The sequence below is a fragment of the Homo sapiens genome, chromosome 10, assembly GCF_000001405.40.
Source record: "Homo sapiens chromosome 10, GRCh38.p14 Primary Assembly".
Classification (NCBI taxonomy): domain Eukaryota; kingdom Metazoa; phylum Chordata; class Mammalia; order Primates; family Hominidae; genus Homo; species Homo sapiens.
Genome location: NC_000010.11, coordinates 114,265,896 through 114,286,767, shown reverse-complemented (window position 1 = coordinate 114,286,767; position 20,872 = coordinate 114,265,896). Strand labels below are relative to the sequence as shown.

General features: G+C 50.0%; 2 protein-coding genes across 30 annotated transcripts in view, besides 4 other annotated features; one reads left to right on the top strand and one right to left on the bottom strand.

Moving 5' to 3' along the window:
* Positions 1-6,043, top strand: part of AFAP1L2 (actin filament associated protein 1 like 2) — a 124,451-nt gene extending 118,408 nt beyond the window's left edge. For all 21 annotated transcript variants that reach the window (XM_047425858.1, XM_047425857.1, XM_047425856.1 and 18 more), the window contains one exon: positions 4,997-6,043. In XM_047425858.1, coding sequence (XP_047281814.1) covers positions 4,997-5,143 — 147 coding nt within the window. In that variant the 3' untranslated portion in view covers positions 5,144-6,043. The remainder of the gene's footprint in view (positions 1-4,996) is intronic.
* The window catches only part of VWA2 (von Willebrand factor A domain containing 2), a 55,247-nt gene that overhangs the window by 7,733 nt on the left and 26,642 nt on the right, over positions 1-20,872 (bottom strand). For 4 of the 9 annotated variants that reach the window (NM_001272046.2, NM_001320804.1, XM_017016179.3 and 1 more), the window contains exons 6-11: positions 13,834-14,028; positions 8,721-8,854; positions 7,917-8,049; positions 4,197-4,252; positions 1,798-1,905; positions 257-829 (exon numbers count right to left, since the gene is read on the bottom strand). In NM_001272046.2, the coding sequence (NP_001258975.1) occupies positions 257-829; positions 1,798-1,905; positions 4,197-4,252; positions 7,917-8,049; positions 8,721-8,854; positions 13,834-14,028 (1,199 nt within the window). Of the gene's footprint in view, positions 1-256; positions 830-1,793; positions 1,906-4,196; positions 4,256-7,916; positions 8,050-8,720; positions 8,855-13,833; positions 14,029-15,539; positions 15,665-20,872 lie in introns of those variants that run through there. The other 5 variants (XM_047425155.1, XM_017016178.2, XM_011539754.3 and 2 more) reach the window with 3 other exon arrangements.
* Positions 561-1,172: an enhancer, noted in NCBI's record as "H3K27ac-H3K4me1 hESC enhancer chr10:116045355-116045966 (GRCh37/hg19 assembly coordinates)". NCBI's record gives its function as "activates a minimal SCP1, AML or CMV promoter by ChIP-STARR-seq in primed H9 embryonic stem cells {active_cell/tissue: H9 hESC(primed)}" and the evidence as "EXISTENCE:reporter gene assay evidence [ECO:0000049][PMID:30033119]".
* Positions 8,729-9,230: an enhancer, noted in NCBI's record as "H3K4me1 hESC enhancer chr10:116037297-116037798 (GRCh37/hg19 assembly coordinates)". NCBI's record gives its function as "activates a minimal SCP1, AML or CMV promoter by ChIP-STARR-seq in primed H9 embryonic stem cells {active_cell/tissue: H9 hESC(primed)}" and the evidence as "EXISTENCE:reporter gene assay evidence [ECO:0000049][PMID:30033119]".
* Positions 9,338-9,838: an enhancer, noted in NCBI's record as "H3K4me1 hESC enhancer chr10:116036689-116037189 (GRCh37/hg19 assembly coordinates)". NCBI's record gives its function as "activates a minimal SCP1, AML or CMV promoter by ChIP-STARR-seq in primed H9 embryonic stem cells {active_cell/tissue: H9 hESC(primed)}" and the evidence as "EXISTENCE:reporter gene assay evidence [ECO:0000049][PMID:30033119]".
* Positions 14,811-15,011: a silencer, noted in NCBI's record as "peak1097 fragment used in MPRA reporter construct". NCBI's record gives its function as "represses an SCP1 promoter by STARR-seq MPRAs in K562 erythroleukemia cells {active_cell/tissue: K562}" and the evidence as "EXISTENCE:reporter gene assay evidence [ECO:0000049][PMID:32103011]".

The window sequence follows — 20,872 nt, the reverse complement described above, 5'->3', positions numbered from 1 at the left end:
CTTACTCTGTACTAAGCATGTACACTGCCCATCTTACCTAATTCTCACTAAAGATCTCTCAGGAGGTACTACTATTAGTCCCATTTTGTTGACAGGTAAACTGAAAATTATTTATGTGACTGGTGCCTGAAAGAGTGGGGCTGTGGTTTCAGCCCCTAGAAGAGGCACTGGCAGAAAATGATGGTTAGGTGGTGGCCAAAAGGAGGAAGGACCCGCCCACTGACCAGCGGTCCTGGGTCAGGCACTGGGACCTTACCTGGCCGCTGCCGGCTGCACAGCTTCCCCTGCAGCTCAGGGATTTGGTTGAACAGATCCTGAGGATCCGAGTAGACCATCACATGCTTTGGGCTGCCTGTGATCTCCTCCAGCTCTGCCCGCACGGCCTCACTGCCTACACCCAGCAGGAGCAGCTCTCGCGCCCTTGCGTGACGCGCTGGGCCCGCAACCTCATCCTCGGAGTGTGACTCAGTGAGCAAAACCACCACTCTACGTGGCCGGTCCTGGCCTGTCCTGGTGGCGCTCCCGAAGCCACGCTCTGCCGCCTGCCGCAAGGCACTGCCCGTCAGGGTGGGGCCACCACGGAAGGGAATGCCATCGAGGCTCCAGACCAGGTCAGGCACATCCTGGTACTCCCCCACAGGCACCGCCACCAGCAGCTCCCTGCTGTATGTGGCCACACCCACTCGGGCCCGAGAGTCCTCGCTCAGCACGGCCCGCACAAACCGCTTCACGAAGACTTTGGCCCGCAGGAAGCCGTCCAGAGTGGTGCCCGCAGAGCTGTCCAGCAGGAAGAGGAGGTCGACCCTGCATTCCAGGCTCAGCTTCAGGGCTGCGGGGATCACAGCAACACCCACTGTCAAGCCATGGTCATGCGGCATGCGAGCTGTCCCACCCGAGATGCCGAACATCTCCCAGGAGGGAGATGGTGCAGAGAAACTGTGGGCCCCCCAAGCTTAAGTGACCCGTGCTCGTCACAGAGTTAGAGACAAGGCCAGACATGGCACTCCTGGCACTCGCTAAGGGTCTCCATCTAGCCACTTTTTAAAGAAAAATGCCATCTACATTATCACTTTTTTCCATTATGGTTAGTCCTGTGTGTGTCCTGAGAAATCTTTGTCTGCCTCAAGATCATGAAAATATATGCTCCTGTGTTTGCTTCTACAGGCTTCACTGCTTTGCCTTTTGCACAGAGGTCTATAGCCACGCTAGAATTGACTTCTGGTAGGGTTGTGAGGTACAGGGTCAAGATTGTTTTCATACAGATCTTCAACTAACCCAGTATCACTTGTTTTTAAAAGTTATTATTCATCAAGCCCTTATATGCGTCAAGCATGGTACTAAGCACTTTGCATAATCTTATTTAAAACTCTCAACCACCCAGTGAGGTAAAGCCTACTATCATCTTCATTTCACACCTCTAAAATCAAAAGGAATCGGGGCTCCTTGCTCTGCTTTCATAGAATAGAGAAGAAAAGACTCTGCCCAGGACTGGGAGCCAGAGTTGGGTGGACTCCTGCCTTCAGCTGGGCTGGGCAGCACTCAAACTTCAAGCAGTGACCATTCTGCAGCTAATAAGCTGGGAGCCACTGTCTCATCCAGAGCTCAGCCACCCCAATTATCTACTCACGGAGCACTGACAGGCTGCACCACGTGAACTGCAGACCAGTGGTGCATTGGAAAGCAGATGGTTCAAGGGCCAGTTTCTACCCAGCAGCTGGAAGGGCGTGCAATGAAAAGGGGAGCCCGTCCTCTTCTTGCTCCCCAGTGGTCAGTCTTGCAGGGCCGGTGCATACCTACCACAGTTAGCCTCCCCTCCAAAGGCCAGCGGGCAGAGGCACTGGTAGCCGTCCAGTCCTTCTGGAACACATGTGCCTCCATTCTGGCAGGGCTGCGAGTCACAGGGGCCTATCAGAGAGATGCCCATTAACCGCTAAGCACCGCAGCACAGAGGAGTGGAGAGGACTGGCCAGAGGTGTGGGTGCAGCTGGCTTCCTGCTCTAGCAGTGGCCCAGCCCCTCCCTTCCCCCACAGTCCACCAGGAAATCTGCAGCAGAGAGGGGAAAGCACTGTGGAGTTCATAAAGGAGGGGCTGGGCACGGGTGGTAAAGGATGCTCTGTAGCAGGCTTGGTAAGGCCCTGTGTGATGAACTGGTGTTAGACTGAAGCTTGACAAGGAGGAAGCTCCCCGTAGCATCAAGTGTGGGTGCCTCAAGACTGAGAGAGAGCTGCGGTGCCAATGGGGCCCTGTCTTCTAAGTTCTACACAGGGTTGTCTTAATGGCCTCTGCACCTGGCACAGCAAAACACACCAGCCTTCGGATCCTGCAGTCAGGCTGCTCAGGACTGAATGTGGCCTCTTCCACTTCCTCCGGCACCTTAATTAACCTCTCCCATCTTCATATCCTCATCTAAAAAGGAGTGATGGGAACTGAACTTGTTCTGTGGGGTTATTGTGAGGATTAAATGAATTAATCCGCAGAAAGTCTCAGCACTAAAAAAACACTCCCCAACAGGTAATGACAGTATTGACTTTTGGATGTGAGATGCAAATTATGAGCAAGGCCTCTTCAAAGCTGAAAGTTTACATGGGAAACCACAGCCTGTGTCAAAATGTGGCCCATTCTGAAGCGTCTGATCTATGATTCCCTGTGGTCCATGCCTGAGCATCTCATTGCTTTCCTTATCAATTATTACAAAGTGCAGCTAAAACCACATGACCTCCTTCCCAGGGTTACAGAAAACAAACAAGGTCTTCATGTGATCATGTATTCCAAGAGCTGGATAAGCAGCTGAGTGTGGTCACAACTGGGACTGGCATTTTCTTGTCCTTTTTGCTTACAAATATTAATCTCTTTCTTGATGGCCACATCATTGTAATTAAAATATAGACTTTTCAAAGGCAGAAAAGATTGAGGCTAAGTCTAGGCACTTCGCTGGGGCTGCTGTTGTATCAGCCAGAAGACTGTGGAAATAGCTGGGGGCTCACTGAGATCGACGACAGTGGCCTTTAACTGAGCATCTATTATGTGCCAGGGACTGTGCTAAGCACAATACACGCATGGTCCCATTTCATTGTCACAACCTTAGGTAGGAACTATAAAAACCCTATATGACAGATGAGGAAGCTGAAGCTCAATGAATAGAAGTCACATGCCCCAGGTCAGATCATTGGTAAGAGGCAAAGCTGGGACTGAAAGCCATTTCACTCTAGTTTCCAAACCGGAAGTCCTCAAACCCTAATTTCTGAGCAGAAACAGCTCCACTCTCAGATTCTCCTGTGCTTCAGAGGCCGTGGTGCTGGAACTGTAAACCTTGTGAACATACTGAAGGGATCACCTAACCCCAAATAGGGACACTCGCTACCCTGCCTGTGTGTCTAACTGCTCGCTACCCTGCCTGTGTGTCTAACTGCTCGCTACCCTGCCTGTGTGTCTAACTGCTCGCTACCCTGCCTGTGTGTCTAACTGCTCGCTGCCCTGCCTGCCTGTGTGTCTAACTGCTCGCTGCCCTGCCTGTGTGTCTAACTGCCGGCATTGCTTCCGGGAGACAGGCTACTCATCGGGAGTAACAAATCCACCCCAGGACTGACACCTACACATTGAAGGGCAATTTCAAGCTCCCAGGTCAGTGGGGTCACTAGCACCCCAAGTGAGGGATAGTGAGGGCACACTGGTGAACCATGCTGAATGATGCATAATGGCATCGATGATTCCTCACGTTAATTTGGGATTTTACAGCTGAGGGATTACTTCCATGGGCATTATCTACTGAATCTTCACTAGGACCTCATATACGATGACCCCCTTTCACATGGAGGAGGGAAATGGGCTTCCAGACATCGGACAAACCACTATGTTTTATAGAGGAGGAAATCACTCAGATATCTTGCCCTGAGTTTGGTGCTGGCTTTGAGGATGTCTGCAAAGCTGGTGCTCGGTGCCTGCCTCTCTGCCTCTCACCAATGCACACAACACTGGTTCAGGGGAGTAATCCCAAAGCCGCCACTCCATTCTTAATGAGCAAACACCATTGAGGGAGTCAAGAGCACACTCTCCTCTGCCCCCCAAGTGCCCCATCCCTCTGCCCTGGAGCCAGTCACAACCCCACCCTCTGTCCCAGGATTGTAAAAGCCACTTTACAAAGCAGCCTGGGCCCAGGGCCCTGAAAGAACCTGTAAATCCAAGAGACAGACCATACCTGGGCAGGTGGTCCTGTAGCAGGTGGCAGGGTGGGTTAGGAACACTCTCTTCCAGCTACAATCCAAGGAAACAGAATTATAGACAGATCAGAGGTGTAAGGGGAGGGCAGAAAACAGAAGATGATTTACAACACCAAAAGCTGATAGAAGATTCCAATGCAGAAGTAAGAAAGACTTCCTGGTTTTGTTTCTTGATTCTACCCTAACTTTTCTCTGCACATAGAGTAGGGAATGTTTCAAACTATCCAGTGACAATTAAAAAAAATAGGCTGGGAGTGGTGGCTCACGCCTGCAATCCCAACACTTTGGGAGGCCAAGGTAGGCAAATCACTTGAGGTCAGGAGTTTGAGACTAGCCTGGCCTACATGGTGAAGCCCCGTCTCTACTAAAAATACAAAAATTAGCTGGGCGTGGTGGCATGTGCCTGTAATCCCAGCTTAGCAGGCTGAGGCAGAAATGCTTGAACCCAGGAGGCAGAGGTTGCGGTGAGCCGAGATTGCACAACTGCACTCCAGCCTGGGTAACAGAGTAAGACTCCATCTCAAAAAAAAAAGGTAACATAAGCTGGCTATCACATTTGAAATTAGGGACATCCACATGCAAAACCCCAAACTGTAGCAACAGCTTTTTATTATAAGTTACTTTCTGAGGCTTACGATGCAGTAGGGAGAGAAATATTGGGAACTGGGCAACTGGATTTTGGCTGTGTGACCACAGACATGTTACTTTCCTCCTCTGGTCTTCACTTTCCTCTTTGTATAGTAATTCTATCTTCACTTTTCAACTGTATTCCTTAAAGCTTCGATGGGGAGAGAAGAGCACTGAAGGAGCAAGGCTCCAGGCCTCCCGCAGTGCCCCAGCCCCGCCCCTCCACCCCAGGTGTGCTGCTACTATCTGGTCCACACAACAAGTGTCCACACGAGGCTCTGCAGGTCAAGACATGTAAGCCACTGGACTCAATGACTTCTCAGGTCTGCTGGAGAACTAACGTTCTGTGATAACACAGCAGCCACCATTCCTTGGGTGGCTTCCACCTGCTGGTGTTCCATGAACCACAGCTACCTGAAGAGATGGTTCCCTCCATGTTCCAGATAGGGAAATGGGTTCTGAGGGCTCACTTAGGGCCCCTGAGGTCACATAATTACCGGAACACAGCAGAGCTGGGATCCAAACCCTGACCATGACTCCAAATCCCCCCACTCTACCCTGTGGGCCTCACCCTCGCCTCTCCTGCGTCTCCGGGGCCATGTGCCCTGCTGTCACAGGAGCGGTTCCTCATCTGGGGGCAGAAAGCCCCACTCTGGGTTGGCAGCAGCTCCTGGGATGGCCTCACCTGAGGAGACTCTTGGGCCTTGGCAGAAACATTCCCTAAAGTTCTCCAAATAAGGCTTCTTCCAACAAGATCCCACCCTGGGCTGCCCACACAGGGGCAGGCCAATCAGGTGCTCCTCTAGGGCAGGGTCTTCCCTGGGGTAAAATGGAGTACACGCCAAGTCAATTCAGAGCTCATGGAGTTGCTGAAATAAAGGTTGCCAAGGCTGGGCGTGGTAGCTCACGCCTGTAATCCCAGCACTATGAAAGGCGGAGGCAGGAATTGAGCTCAGGAGTTTAAGACCAGCCCGGGCAACATAGTGAGACCCCATCTATAAAAAAAAATCTTAAAAATTAGCCGGCCACGGTGGTGCGTGTCTGTAGTCCCAACTACTTAGGAGGCTGAAATGGGAGGATCACTTGAGCCTGGAAGTTTGAGGCTGCACCAAGCCATGATTCTGCCACTGTACTCCATCCTGGTGACAGAGCAAGACCTTGTCTCAAAAAAATAATAATAAAAACAAAGTTTGCCAAACTGCCAGCTCATTCAAGAGAAATCGTCTTCTCTTCCATGTCTATCCTAGTGACCTCATAAAGCCACAAGTCCTAGCCCAGAAAGATCCCTGGGCCCTTCCCCCTCCCTGATTTAGGCTTCCCTGGGAATCAGCATTTATGGAGCAGACACTACCAACAGGGCTTTGCAGGGACCTGCACACAGTTTGCCCCCCACCTCCCTCAGGTCTGGACACAAATGCCACATGCTCTGCAAGGCCCTCCCTGGCCACTCCATTTCAAACTGTGACCTTGCCCCAACCCCCCGCCTACCCCACCGCATCCCCATCTTGCTGCTGTGTTCCTCCACAGCACCTGCTACCACTGAACAGTTTATTTTCTGTATTCATTTTGGAATGACTGCCTCCCATTACTGGAGCGTCAGCTTGTGAGGGTAGATGTGTTTCTGAGATGCTGGTGCTGATTTCCCAGGACCTGGGTGAGTGCCAGGAGCACAGGAGGCCCTCAGTGGGTATTTCTTGAGTGAAGAAATGGGTGAAGAGCTCCCAAATGCTTCATTCTAGGAGCCTGCAATATTAACACATCTACCTATTAAATCACCGCCTGTTCTCAACAAACCTGTAGGGCAGGTATGATTATTATCACACCCCTTTTCAAACATAGAAACATGCAGTGGTAAGTTCACCGCTCCCTAGTGGTTCTGCTAAGATTAAAAATTCAGCAGCCTGAGAGCAGAGTCTGAATGCAAGGCCCAGGAAGTATACACTGCAGCCACCAGCCTCTTCCAGCCGCTCCCGGCTCTGAGCGCCTTGCCCACTGCCACAGTTCCAAATCTTGCAAAACTGCTCGAGCAGCCCCTTCTCTGTGACATCCCAGAGAGGACAGACTCCATCCCAACACCTAGGATGCCTCAGGGTGGCCGCTGGTCTCCTTTTCCAATGCCCTCCTCTAAACCATGATTCCTTGGGGGCAGCAACTGTACTGTCTTCTTATTGCACATTGCCTGGCTCTGAGCAGGCACTTAGAAAGTGGCCACCAAGGAACGAATCAACTCCTCCTTTCACTTGAGAGGTTGGGTTCTGAGGAGAGCCTCTGGTGGCCCCAGAGTGGCATGAGACCTCATCTCCTCTGACCCTTATGTAGGGGGCTGGCCTTTCCCAGAGAAACAGTCTTTGGATTCTCCATCAGCCCAGCACAGCCCTAAGGCTTCTCAGCCAATCCATTTCACTGCTGTGTGCTGTGCTGTGAGCTCATCGCTGGGGGAGGACCAATGGGTAAAGATGCAGCTGATTCAAACACTGCCCCGGCCCCCCAGAAAGGGAGAGGGGCAGGGTCACCAGTCTCCGGACAGAGGTGCTGAATGGCAGGTAGTCTAAAGAAAGTGCCCAGGAACAGTGTGGGGAGTGTTTGGGAGGGATGGGTGGGCAGACGGGCAGCAGGTGCTCTTGGGTGCCTGGGCTCCAATCCCAAAGAACCCAGCATCCCATAGCCTCCCTGACTGGAATTCATCTGAGGATCTCTATCCTCTTGCCTCACTCAGCCCCCATAATGTGGAAACTGGTGCTCAGAGGAACCAAATTACCAAATCAATATCCCAAGTGCAGACCACCGCCCTGCAGGGCCAGCACTTGGCTCACTCACCAGCCTTCCAGAATGCCTGTGACCCTGCCACCAGTGCTCACCCTGGGTACCTGGGCTGTGTGTTAAGGGATGCTGACACTGAGTAGCTGTGCCTCTCCCTGTTCTCCCATGGCTACGTCCCTGGCTCCCTCCCAGGTCTCCTTCGATCCCTGTCACAATCTCCATGGCAGGGCCCCAAAGTACTATCCTCCCCGCAGCTCAGGGGTGGGGGCCTTCATCTCCACCCAGGCCGAGCCCAGACCGCGCAGACAAACCTGTAGAAGGGACAGTGTGCAGCCAGCACCGCAAGGGTCCGCCGCGATCCTCTCCAGCATGGGGCATTGCCAGCGAACTCCCGGACCATCTCCAGCGTCCTGTGCTCACAGGGGTGAGCCTCGACCCTGCAGTCTGTGTCCACAACACACACCCACACCCACGGAGGAGACAGGGTTCCACCTCCTCCTGCCACACACGCTTCCCCAGCAGCTGCTCCCGCTCCTGGGAGGTTCCACCACACTTCCAGGCTGGCCACTTTCTGCTCTCTCAGGTCAGGGCATATCTCTGGGTGAAGGGCCCTGCTCTGCCTGTTCAGCGGGGCATCCAGTCTCTGAGCATCTCCTCTGCTGGGCCCCACCCCACACAGCTTTTGCGTAATGGGCACACATGTACATTCCACATAACGTCATCAATGTGGCTCCTGGGTGGACCCTGACAAGGACGACTAGAATGCAGGGATCTCGCACCAAGCACAAAGCCTCCTTGTGCTCCTCTGTGTGGTCCAAGGCAGGGGGAGGAGACTTGGCTCTGTCTCTTGAGCAGGGGACAGGGAACCTACTACATTTGGGTCTCAAACCCTGGGCCCCTCTACCTCCATGAAGACAAGCTCGGGGCTCCCAGCTGGGAAACCCACAGGGCAGGGCACAGGGAGACGCAGAGCATCCAGGGTGGAGGCTGCCGGTCTCTGTTTCTCTTGCCTGCCCTCCATCCTTGGGAGGCTCCTGGGTCCTGACCTCTTGCCTCAGGGAGCCCTCCCCGACCCCACATGGCACTTCCACTCCCTCCAGGCTGGAAGATCTTACCTGGCGTGGCGCTGGAGCAGATGGCCGAGCTGCTGAGGGTGCTGAAGAGGCCGTTGGTGGCATCCTCCACCTGCTCAGCCAACAGCACGTGCTGCCCTCTAGGCTCGCTGGCCAGTGCATGCAGCTCCTCCCACCTGTGCCAAGGGGTTGTAACAGCTTGTGGTCCTATACCCACCCTCCTCCTGCCCCCTCATCTTCTAGGCCGTGGGTTCCTTGTGGATGGCAGCACAGATTTAGTGTCTGGTTTTGTCAGACCCATAGCTGGTGAGGAAAACAGTTAACCGGAATGGAAATGAAAGAAAGTGGTTCGAGGTGACAGCAAGCAAAGAACAAGCAAGCATAGCTGGTAACAGAAAAAAAGACTGAGGAATGATAAACAATGGACGTAAGAACTCCAAGGCCAGCAATAGGAGGCCATCTAGAGGAAGCGGCCAGCACACCTCGATAGCCATAGGGCAGCGCTGTTTGTGCCAGGAGGAAAATGATGTACAGATGGTGACACTAGGACATGAAGAAAGGGTTAGGCGATGTTGAGAAACCTCATTTTAAGAAGACACACAGTCGGAGGGGGGGTGTGGTGGCTCACGCCTAATCCCAGCACTTTGGGAGGCCGAGGTGGGTGGATCACTTGAGGTCAGGAGTTTGGGACCAGCCTAGCTAACATGATGAAACCCCATCTCTACTAAAAATACAAAAATTAGCTGGGTGTGGTGGTGGGTGCCTGTAGTTCCAGCTACTTGGGAGGCTGAGACAGGAGAGCCACTTGAACCTGGGAGGTGGAGGATGCAGTGAGCCGAGATTGTGCCACTGCAATCCAGCCTGGGCAACAGAGTGAGAGTCTGTCTCCAGAAAAAAAAAAAAAAAAAAAAAAAAAAAAAAGACGTGCAGTCAGTAATGTATCTAGAAGAATCCTGTCCTTGAAAAGTCATCAGGGTGGACCAAGGTTTGACGATAGGGCAAAAATCCCATTCATTTCTAAAATTCAGGTCTGTAAAACTTCCCATTCTCCTCTGAATGCACATAAAACAGATTCTCCTCCCAGGACCCAGGACTGAGCCCTGAGGGCACATGTGCACAGGGGAGGCGTTGCACAGCCACGGTCTGCAGGCAGTGCTGCCAGCCCTGGAGCCCCCCAGCCCTGCAATGGACTTTCTTACAAGCTGCCAGGTAATTCAGATGCTGAGCCAGAGCTGAGAACTGTCAGAGAAGGGGCTCAAAAGGCGGAAAGAGACCAGGTGCAGTGGCTCACGCCTGTTATCCCAGTACTTTGGGAGGCCGAGGCGGGAGAATCCCTCAAGCTTAGGAGTTTGAGACCAGCCTGGGCAACACAGTGAAACCCTGTCTCTACAAAAAAAAAAAAAAAAAAAAAAAAAATTGCTGGGTGTCGTGGCAGACATCTGTATTCCCAGCTACTTCAGCTACTTGGGTGGCTGAGGTGGGAGGATCACTTGAGCCCAGGAGGTCAGGGCTGCAGTTAGCCATGATCGTGCCACTGCATTCCAGCCTGGGTGACAGAGCGGGACCCTGTCTCAAAAAAATAAAAGTAGAGACTGAACCAGTATCAGTTTTTTTGCTTTATTGCTTGTAGAGTTTCACGCTGCCCTTGGCAGTGACCCTCAAACTCTGGTGGGCATCAGAGTCACTGAAGGCAGGATGAAGAGCAGACCAAGGCTCTCTGACTCTGAGTTTCTGATTCAGTGGTGTGGGGCCACAGGCTGTGCGTTTCCAGCAGGCTCCCAGGTGACGAAGATACTGCATCCAGGGAGCACACGTTGAGAACCAGTGAGCAACAGCGACTCAGCCCTTTGGTGGGAGTGGGGAGGGGTGGGTCAGGTGGTCCTGGGAGCCCTACATGGCCCTCAGCTCAGGCCATCCCCCTCCCAAGGAATGGCTTCTCATCTCTCTAGGCCATGGCTGCTCAAAGAGCAATGGGTGGGCAGAGCAGCTCCCTAAGCATTAAACGCTGGTGCAGAGGGGACAAGCGCAGACACTGAAACACTGACAAACTAACTGGACAGCGATGAGACAGTCATTTTATGTCTGCTGAATCAAATAATAAACATTTGAATTTATATTGTGTTTATTTCATTTTTCCCCTAATTAATTTATTTTTGTTTTATGAGACGGAGTCACCCTCTGTCACCCAGGCTGGACTGCAGTGGCGTAATCTCGGCTCACTGTAACCTCTGCTTCCTGGGTTCAAGTGACTCTCTTGCCCTAGCCTCCTGGGTAGCTGGGATTACAGGCACCCACCACCATGCCTGGCTAATTTTTATATTGTTAGTAGAGATAGGGTTTCATCCTGTTTGCCAGGCTGGTTTCAAACTCCTGACCTCAAGTAATCCACCATCCTTGGCCTCCCAAAGTGCTGGGATTACAGGCGTGAGCCACCATGCCCGGCCTCATTTTTATTGTATTTTTAAAAAGTTATCAGTCCATGGTGTATCTGGGGGAAAAAAAACCAAAAAAACAAAATACTGGTCCAGTTTGAGAGGCACTGTTCCAGCTACCTGCTGAAGAAGAAAGCACTGGAAGGAGACAGGGATTCCCACCGTGTGGTGGGTTCTACCCTCATGGACAAATCTTTGGCAATGGCTATGCTCAAGGCACTGTGTCTGGCACAATGTGGGAAACGGCGGGCAGAGGGCCATGAGGCAAAGTCCCTCTCTCCTCTCTCCAGGAGTTTGTATTGCCTATATTTGAGAAGACAAAATGAGCCAATGAAGGCTAAGGCAGGCTGTGTTAAATGCCAACTTGCTGATCACAATGATTGATGACAATGATGTCATCACCATTTCCAGGACATGGCACAATCCTGGATGTCCCCACCTTACTGGCCGCTCTTTAGTCTCCATCACTCTATCTTCTTCCTCTCTCTGACCTGCACTTGCTGGCCCGTTGGTCATCTTCTCTCCCTGTCCCCACTACCTAGGTGACCTTATATCAGATTTAAAAACCACCTCAAATTTCAATCTCCATGCCTGTCCCCTCCTCCATGCTCCAGATTCTCACACCCAACTGTCTGCTCGGCTCCCACACTGAGCTGTACAATGTGCACCGCAAACTTCCTCTGTCTGAAACAGAACACAATGTCCCGTGCTCTTCCCCCGTTGTCATCTTTCCCATGTCGGGAGATGGCACCACTATTCACTCTGGGGCTCAAGTCAAAATCCTCAATTCTTCTCTCACACACCCACCTCCAATTCAGTGGCGGCCGCTCACTGCTCTGCCTTCAAAACATATCCTAAGCCAACGCCAGGCGCAGTGGCTCACGCCTGTAATCCCAGCACTATGGAAGGCTGAGACGGGTGGGTCACTTGAAGCCAGGAGTTCAAGACTAGCCTGGCCAACATGGTGAAACCCTATCTCTATTTAAAAAAAAAAAAAAGTAGCCAGGTGTGGTGGCGTGCACAGGTGTGGTGGTATGCACATATAATCCCAGCTACTCAGAAGGCTGAAGCATGAGAATCGCTTGAACCCAGGAGGCGGAGGTTGCAGTGAGCTGAGATGGCGCCACTGCACTCCAGCCTGGGTGACAAAGCGAGGCTGTCTCAAAAACAACAACAAACAACAAACATATCCTAAGTCGAGGCTGCAGCTGCTTCCCTCTAGGAGCCACCATGATCTCTTTTGTGAGCCATGCCAAAGGCCTCCTAATCAGTTTCCCCTCTCCCCTTACTATTTCCTCTCCCACCCCTATCCTGTCAGTCTATTTCGTACACAGCAGCCAATGTGATTCTCTGAAGATATCATTCCCCTGCTTAAAACCCTCCAAAGGCTGTCTGTCATCCTACTCACAATAAACTAACATCTTCTCCATGCCCACCAAGTCTCTGTGGCTGACTCCTGGCTCTTCCACCCTTACTTCTTGTGTTTCTGCCACTTGCTTGCTGGGCTTCCGCCCCTCCCTGGCCGTCTGGCTGTTCCTTCCTATAACTCGCCAGCCTACCTGCTGCCCCAGGGCCTTTGTACTTACCACCCACCTGCCTGCTTTGCCCTGCCTTCCCCTGATATTTGGAAGGCTTACTCCTCACTTCACTCAAGTTTCTGCTCAAAAATCAATTTCTCAAAGAAGCCTTGACTGACCACCCAAACTAAAATAGCTTTCCTCTCTATTCCCCATCATTCTTTAGCCTCTTACCCTACTTTATTTTTCCCTTTTGCATTTTACTTCCACCTGAAATTATATTATGTATTTATTTATTATCTAGTTCCTTTCTGAGAATGGAAACTCCATGAGGGCAGGGACTTTGTATTATTGTCTCTGTATTCTAAGCACCTAGAATAATGCCCAGCATGAGAAAGACAACCCTGGATTTATTAACTGAGAAATTAAATAATGTACTAAAATTAATGAAGAGATTTCTGTGTGCAAACACAGTGCCCAGACCAGAGTCATTTCACTTAACGCTCACAATAACTATTGGTCCATGGCATAAGTGACGTCCATTTTTTGGTTTGAGAGCATTAAGGATCTGTACCCTCCTCTCTTCTAGGAAAGCCTATTTGCCCAGCAGCTAGACAAATGGGGTAAAGGGGGAGTGGCCAGTCAGACTCCTACTCCCTTGGCCCCAAGAGTGGGCTCTGCCTCAGGCTGATTAGAATATTTTATTGGATTGTTAAACTGTGGAAAGGGGTCTTTTCTCTCCAGGGTGGAGCTCTGAAGACGTGAGCTGGGCACCGTCCACAGCTCCAGTTCCAGCTTCCTAATAAAGTCAGGGTACGAGAGGAGGCAACAGGCAGAGAACAGCAGAGATATGTGGAAGAATCTCGATGACACTGAAGTCCCTGGCTCCTGCACACCCTGAGGGACCCCCATCCCACCCAGTGAATGAGATCACTCCATGAATTTCCATTTTTGCCCAAATAAATTTCAGCAGAGTTTCTGGCACTTGCAACTGAGTTTTCAAACAAAACCAAAATCAATGCAAATACAGGCTCCAAAAGATTGGAGCTTCCTGTGCACTGGAGTCAAAATGGCAAAGTGAGGAAAAGACAGATCCAGGGAAGGACCTGGACGGCTCTTCCAGTCCCCTCCCTTCCCTCCCATGGCCATGTCACGATCCCCAGGCTGACCACCTGAGGGCTGATCCAGGGTGACTGAGGCTCTTACCTGGGAAACCTGACCCCCACAGCAAACACAGTGACACCCCTTTCCTTCAGCTGCTTGGATGGCAGTGCCACATCCCCCTGGGACTTCCCATCAGTGACGATGATGAGGATCTGGGGCACAGAAGCATTTCTGCCTCCAGGCAACCCTCTGTGCAGAAGGTATTTCAGAGCAAGTTCCGTCTCCGTGCGCCCTCCTCTGTGCACACCCAGAAGGAAAAAAGAAAGAAAAGTGAATGATGTGGGGAGGTGAAGTTGGGATGAGAGTCTGAAATCGATGAGCTCTTCCGTTATTAGCGAAAGGTAGCTTTCTCCTAGCAGAGGCTGAAAGTGATAGTTCTACCATCTAAACCACAACAACAATGAACAGAAATTATTTTTTCCATGCACTTGAGATTCACCCCGTACATCTCTGTTGTATTCTATCATAATGTCATTGTGTGTTGGGTGTGTTTTTCTCCTCCCCGAGTGATGACTCTGGGCCGACAGCTCTTGTCATTTGTCTAACACCTGCCTCCCATCTCCTCATCCCTGCATCATCTTCTTGTTACAGCTCAACATCCTGGGTTGGGAAAGCAGATAATGAGCTTAGGAAAACTGTGTGAGGAAGGACCCATAAGAGTGAAGGACAGGGCTTCAAGGCAAGGGTGTGATGACAGTCTTTTCTGTGATCCAGGCCTTTGTGGGCCATGTCCAAATTCAGGGTTGGGAGCTGGAAGGCTGAGCTGTCTGACCACCTCCAGATCAGGGCAGGTTACAGGGGTCCCATCTCATCGGGATGCCAATGGTCCTCTATTTGCTGTGGCTTGAGATCCTCTCATCCTCACAGCTCAGTTATAGGAACTGTTGACCAATCCTGGAATCCCAGAGCAGGATCTCTGCTAAATCTCAAATTAGGAGGCTCCTGTAAGCGTCCTGTCAGAGAGAGGACTGCCAGCTTTGAGTGTCAGCTGGACAGAAAATAATGACTCACTACAGTGGATTTTAGGTTACGGAATTGTGAGTCAGTCCCTGTTGCAGCCAAACCATTCAGCGGATGGTAGCCCATCCAAACATGATCAACAATGTGAGGCTGATGGAATTACTGTGGTTATCAACAGTACACACAGAGAAAACCCTGTGGGAGCATTATTCTGAAATAGTGACTAACCACAGATTCTAGATGGGGGACACATTTACACTCAGATTGTACCAACCATAAATTAAGGCAATGCCTACCTTTAATTCAGCCCTAACTATAGTCATTTTTCTAATGAGAAAACATCCAACTGACAAGACGCATGGGCATTACCTGCTGTGTGTGTGTGTGTGTGTGTGTGTGTGTGTGTGTTTTTACTTCTCATGCAAGTCTGACATGAGTCCTCCTGCCCAGGCATCTCTCCTGGTTGGCTCCCCTCCAAGCAGCTACTCAGGAATCCAGGCTCCTTTCATGTTATGGTTCCACCTTCCCCTCAGTCCTCAAAATGCTCTCCATTCAGCAGGAAGACAAGGAAAGAGCATGAAGATTGTGCTTGGGAAGGATTTATGGACCAGGCCTAGAATATTCTTCACTTTTATTGCTTTCTAACTTAAGCAAGCTCTTAAATGGCAGTTTTCTTTGCGGTGCTCCATAAAGTTAAAAAGTGTCAACAAGAGCTGACAACTCCTAGAATTAGCAGTCTTGCCTACAATACATATATTGACATTTGCATGGGTTAAAAATTTACTTACTTTTTTTTCAACCTGTGAGTATTTACTGTGGATCCACTAGAGGGAAGATAGTGAAATGGAGACCAGGAAGTATAACCACGATCCCATCCCTTAAAGAACTCCCAGTCTAGTTGAAGAAATGGGATCTACAAGACAGCAAGGAAAAAGGAATGCAAGGATACAAATAATAGGAATTCGGAGGAGCAGATTCATTGTGGGGTGGAGCTGTCAGGGAGCAGGCTTCAGAGGGGAAAAAGCTTTTAAATGGGGTCTTGGTGAATCAGCTGATGAGGAAAGGAAGAGGCCATTCTGATTACAGGAAGGGGTTAAAGCAAAGACACAGGTAAGCAATGTAACCTGTGTTCTGGAGCTAGCGAGCAGAGCTTGGCTTGGGCAATGGGCTTATCAAAGAAAAACAGAGCATACCAACATGGATGAATCTCCGAAGAGGAAGACTACACTCACGCCACTGACTCCCAAGCGCCCCCAACTCCTCTCACACCCTGCTGGATCACACATTAGATACCGAAGACCACCAACCCGATTCTGATCTCTACTAATACTGTTTCCTTCACCAAAGAGCTCTTGTGTTTAAAAAGAGTGTTCCTCCAGGGCTCCTGGGAGGGCAGAATGGCTTCCATTTCTAAAGGATAATATTAGCGCTGACATTTTACTTTGTGCCAGACACTACACACACACACCTGTTACTGAATGTAATCCTTACATCCATGGTAAAAGGTACTAATCTTACCCACATTTGACAAATGAGGAAACCCCACTCAGAGAATAGTGATAACTGGTAATATTTCCTGGGCATTTAGCATGTGCCAGACGCTGTGCTCAACCCATGTTTAGCTATATATGCTTAGCATATTATCATATAATTCTCGCCACAGCTCTCTGGAATAGAGGAGTCCAGAAAAGGGGCCAAACTAAGGTTATGCCGCTCATGAGTGGTGAAGGCAGGACTTGAACCCAGGGCCCTCCACTTCCAAAGCCCAAGTTCTTAAACAGATAGTTACATAGTTGTGAAGGCACCTGACTCTCATCTGGCTAGTGGAGGTCGGAACTGGAGTTTAAGCCCAGTCTGGCTGAATTTGAAGCCAATACTCTTTCCTCTCCAGGGCTCAGCTTAATCTGGCCTGCTGCCCATTTTTGTAAAGTTTTATTGGAAAACAGCCACACTCACTGATTTAGGTACTGTCTACACAGAGACCACTGGCCTGAAAATTAAAATTATGTACTATACAACTTTTACTGAAAAAGTTTGCCAACTCCTGTTCTAAACTGTCCTGCTTAAATGCTCACAAGACTTTCTTCTCATCCAAAGCCAAGGTGCTTCGGTGGCTTTGAAGCAACCTGCTCCTCTACCCACTGGCCAGTGAGCCCTATGGCCTCCTGGCTATGTTCTTGGATCCTGAGGTTCTAAACCAGTCCTTGCCTTCTTTCCCCAAAGCCTCCCCTCCCTTGTGGTCCATCTGATCATTATCACTCCTACAGGCTCACAGCTTCAGGAGTGAAAAGAAAAAGTGCTTGTTCCCCATACTCTTTTCTGTTTCTCACAGGGGTCTGCCCTTGGCCCCTTCAGAATTAAACTGTTTTTCCTTTCCATCTACCACCTTCAGGGGAAGGCTTGGGTTCCAGCCAGATTTTGTTTTCTTATTTTTTTGAGACAGAGTCTCACTCTGTCACCCAGGCTGGAGTGTTGTGGCATACTCTCAGCTCACTGCAACCTCCACCACCTGGGCTTAAGCGATTCTCCTGCCTCAGCCTCCCGAGTAGCTGGGACTACAGGCACTCACCACCATGCCCTGCTAATTTTTGTATTTTTAGTAGAGACAGGGTTTCACCATGTTGACCAGGCTGGTCTCAAACTCCTGACCTCAGGTGATCTGCCCGCCCTGGCCTCCCAAAGCGCTGGGATTACAGGCGTGGGCCACCACGCCTGGCCCATCCAGATTTTCTAATGGGTCTGGGCCTCTCTCTTCACAACCATCAGCCTGTGGTTACAGAGAAATTAAGTTTCAGGGACATGAGAGCCCAGGCTGCCCACTGCACAGGCCTGACGGTACTTACCCTTCACGTTGCTCAGCACAGTGATACCAATGCTGTCACCCTCTCTACCTCAGCACCCTGTTAAGGGTTACCACAAGAAAACTGTCTGCTGGCTTGCGACCAAGGTAAGGTGAGATTCCCCATGGCTTGACCTCTGAGAAGTGAGAAGAAATCCCTCCGCTTGGCCGGGCGCGGTGGCTCACGCCTGTAATCCCAGCACTTTGGAAGGCCCAGCACTTTGGAAGGCCGAGGCGGGCGTTTCACAAGGTCAAGAGATCGAGACCATCCTGGCTAACATGGTAAAACCCTGTTGCTACTAAAAATACAAAAAAATTAGCCAGGCATGGTGGCGGGTGCCTGTCGTCCCAGCTACTCGGGAGGCTGAGGCAGGAGAATGGCGTGAACCTGGGAGGCGGAGCTTGCAGTGAGCCAAGATCGCGCCACTGCACTCCAGCCTCAGCGACAGAGCGAGACTCCGTCTCAAAAAAAAAAAAAAGAAAAAAGAAAAAGAAATCCCTCCGCTTACTCCAGGAAGCACTTCTGCCTAAGAGTCTGTTCTGAGCTCAGGGTCTATTTCTACGTTTAACAAACGAGGAAACCCCACTCAGAGAATAGTGACAGTAACTGCTAATATTTCCTGGGCACTTAGCGTGTGCCAGGCGCTGTGCTCAACCTATGTTTACCTATATATGCTTAGCATATGCCCATATAATTCTCACCACAGCTCTCTGGAATAGGAGAGTCCAGAGAAGGGTCTAAACTAAGGTTATGCCACTCATGAGTGGCGAAGGCAGGACTTGAACCCAGACAGGGGGCTCTGAGGCCAGAGTCTCACCAGAATTTTTCTAATTTCTCTCAAATTGAACTAAACTAGGTTGCAAGTTGAAGGTTCACAGATCAGCTACTGTCTTGGGGGTTATGACTGCCATGTATGAACTTTTGGGGGTGGGGGGTGGGAGGGCTAGAATCAAAACATTTTGCTATCAGTGCAGACAGGTAATTAAGAACATGAGTTCCAGAGGTGGAGGGGCTCAAATATTAGTTCTGAAATATCTTAGCAGGTAAACTTGGAAAAGTTACTTGACCTGAGTCCCAGTTTCCTTCCATGTTAAAAGGGGAAAGAAATAGTATTGTTAGAGGATGAAATACTGGGTCTAGCACCTCTGAGGACCTAGTGGGTGGCTGTTACCAAAATGAACCCACAGCAGCCTACTGTAAGAAGTTTATCTTTTGAGTCTAGTCTCAAATTCTAGTGTTCATAAAAATCTCTCAGGAGACTTAATGATGTAGATTTTCAGGTCCTATTCCCTGACAGTCCAAATTGGTGGGTCTGTAACCTGGCCTGAAAATCTAGATTTCAAACCAGCACTCCCTCCCCTCCTCCCTCACCTTCCTGCAGGTCATTCTGATGTCAGCAGGCCATGAAACGGACTAAGAAAAATAATTCATAAGAAGCCAGGCACTGTGGCTCATGCCTGTAATCTCAGCACTTTGGAAGGCCGAGGTGGGTGGATCACCTGAGGTCAGGAATTTGAGACCAGCCTGGCTAACATGGCGAAACCTCATCTCTACTAAAAATACAAAAAAAAAAAAAAATTAGCCAGGTGTGGTGGCGGGGGCCTGTAATCCCAGCTATCGGGAGGCTGAGGCAGGAGAATCGCTTGAACCAGGTAGGCAGAGGTTGCAGTGAGCTGAGATTGCCCCACTGCATTCCAGCCTGGGTGACAGAGAAAGACCCTGTCTTAAAAATAACAATAATAATAATTCATAAGAAAACCCAGCCGGCGCGGTGGCTCACAACTGTAATCCCAGCACTTTGGGAGGCCGAAGCGGGTGGATCACCTGAGGTCAGGAGTTCAAGACCAGCCTGGCCAAGATGGTGAAACCCCATCTCTACTAAAAATACAAAAATTAGCCGGGCATGGTGGCGGGTGCCTGTAATCCCAGCTACTCGGGAGAGTCTGAGGCAGGAGAATCACTTGAACCTGGGAGGCGGAGGTTGCAGTGAGCTGAGATTGCACCACTGCACTCCAGCCTGGGTGACAAGAGTGAAACTCCGTCTCAAAATGAAAAAGAAAGAAAAGAAAACCCACTGTAGGTACAGGGATGTTGATTACAGCTTTTTTTTCCAGCAATAGACAAAAATTCTGGAATCAAATGTTACCTTTTAGGAGAATAATTAAATATATTGTGATACCTGAACTTGGATTATTAAATAATCATTAAAAACAATCAACATGAAAAATAATACAGCTTTATGTAAAAGCACATACCAAATAATATTAAGGGGGAAAAAAAAGGACAAAATGCTTTGTAATTCTAACCCAAAAGCCATATTTAAACGTTAATGTGGTTTGAAAGGGGCCGGGGAAGGCTATCAACCGTTTTCTGCCAAGGTAAAGTGGAGACAAAGCTATGGAGGGAGTCCAAAAAATTCAGTCACAGTAAACACAGGGTTGTGTTACTATGAGATTAATGAAATGAGCAAGCCCGGGCAGCCAGCAGGCCAGGAGCTCTGTGCATTCAGGAACCAATCACCAGCCAGGTCTTATCTTGATTTTATGTCATCGTGGGGTGCAATGTTGGAAGGTTTGACTGCAATGTTTTTTAAACTTCTTGCAAGGTAGCAATAAGGTGGTTGTCAGAGTGGTTTCTTCACTACCTCAAAACATACTTTTGGGGGACTGCCTCGGTCTGGAAAGGCAAGTGTCCTGGGTTTGAGTTGAGCTGTCCTAATCAGTCAAGCATCTAACATTTCACTGTCACTCGAGGGGATGGATACCCCATTCTCCCTGACATGATGATTACTCATTGCATGCTTGTATCAAAACATCTCACATACCCCATACATATATATACCTACTACGTACCTACAAAGTTTAATTTTTTTTTTTCTTTGAGACGGAGTCTTGCTCTGTCACCCAGGCTGGAGTGCAGTGGCGCGATCTCGGCTCACTGCAAGCTCTGCCTCCTGGGTTCATGCCATTCTCCTGCCTCAGCCTCCCGAGTAGCTGGGACTACAGGCGCCCGCCACCACGCCCGGCTAATTTTTTGTATTTTTAGTAGAGATGGGGTTTCACCGTTTTAGCCAGGATGGTCTCGATATCCCGACCTCGTGATCTGCCCACCTCGGCCTCCCAAAGTGCTGGGATTACAGACGTGAGCCACCGCGCCCGGCCAAAAGTTGAAAATTTAAAAAGAAAACTTCACTGTAGAAAAAGAACAAAGTGCTCCGGGGAGGTCATCACTCCCATTTGGCCCATGTTCCTCCATTCTGATTCATAACAGCCTGTCTTCAT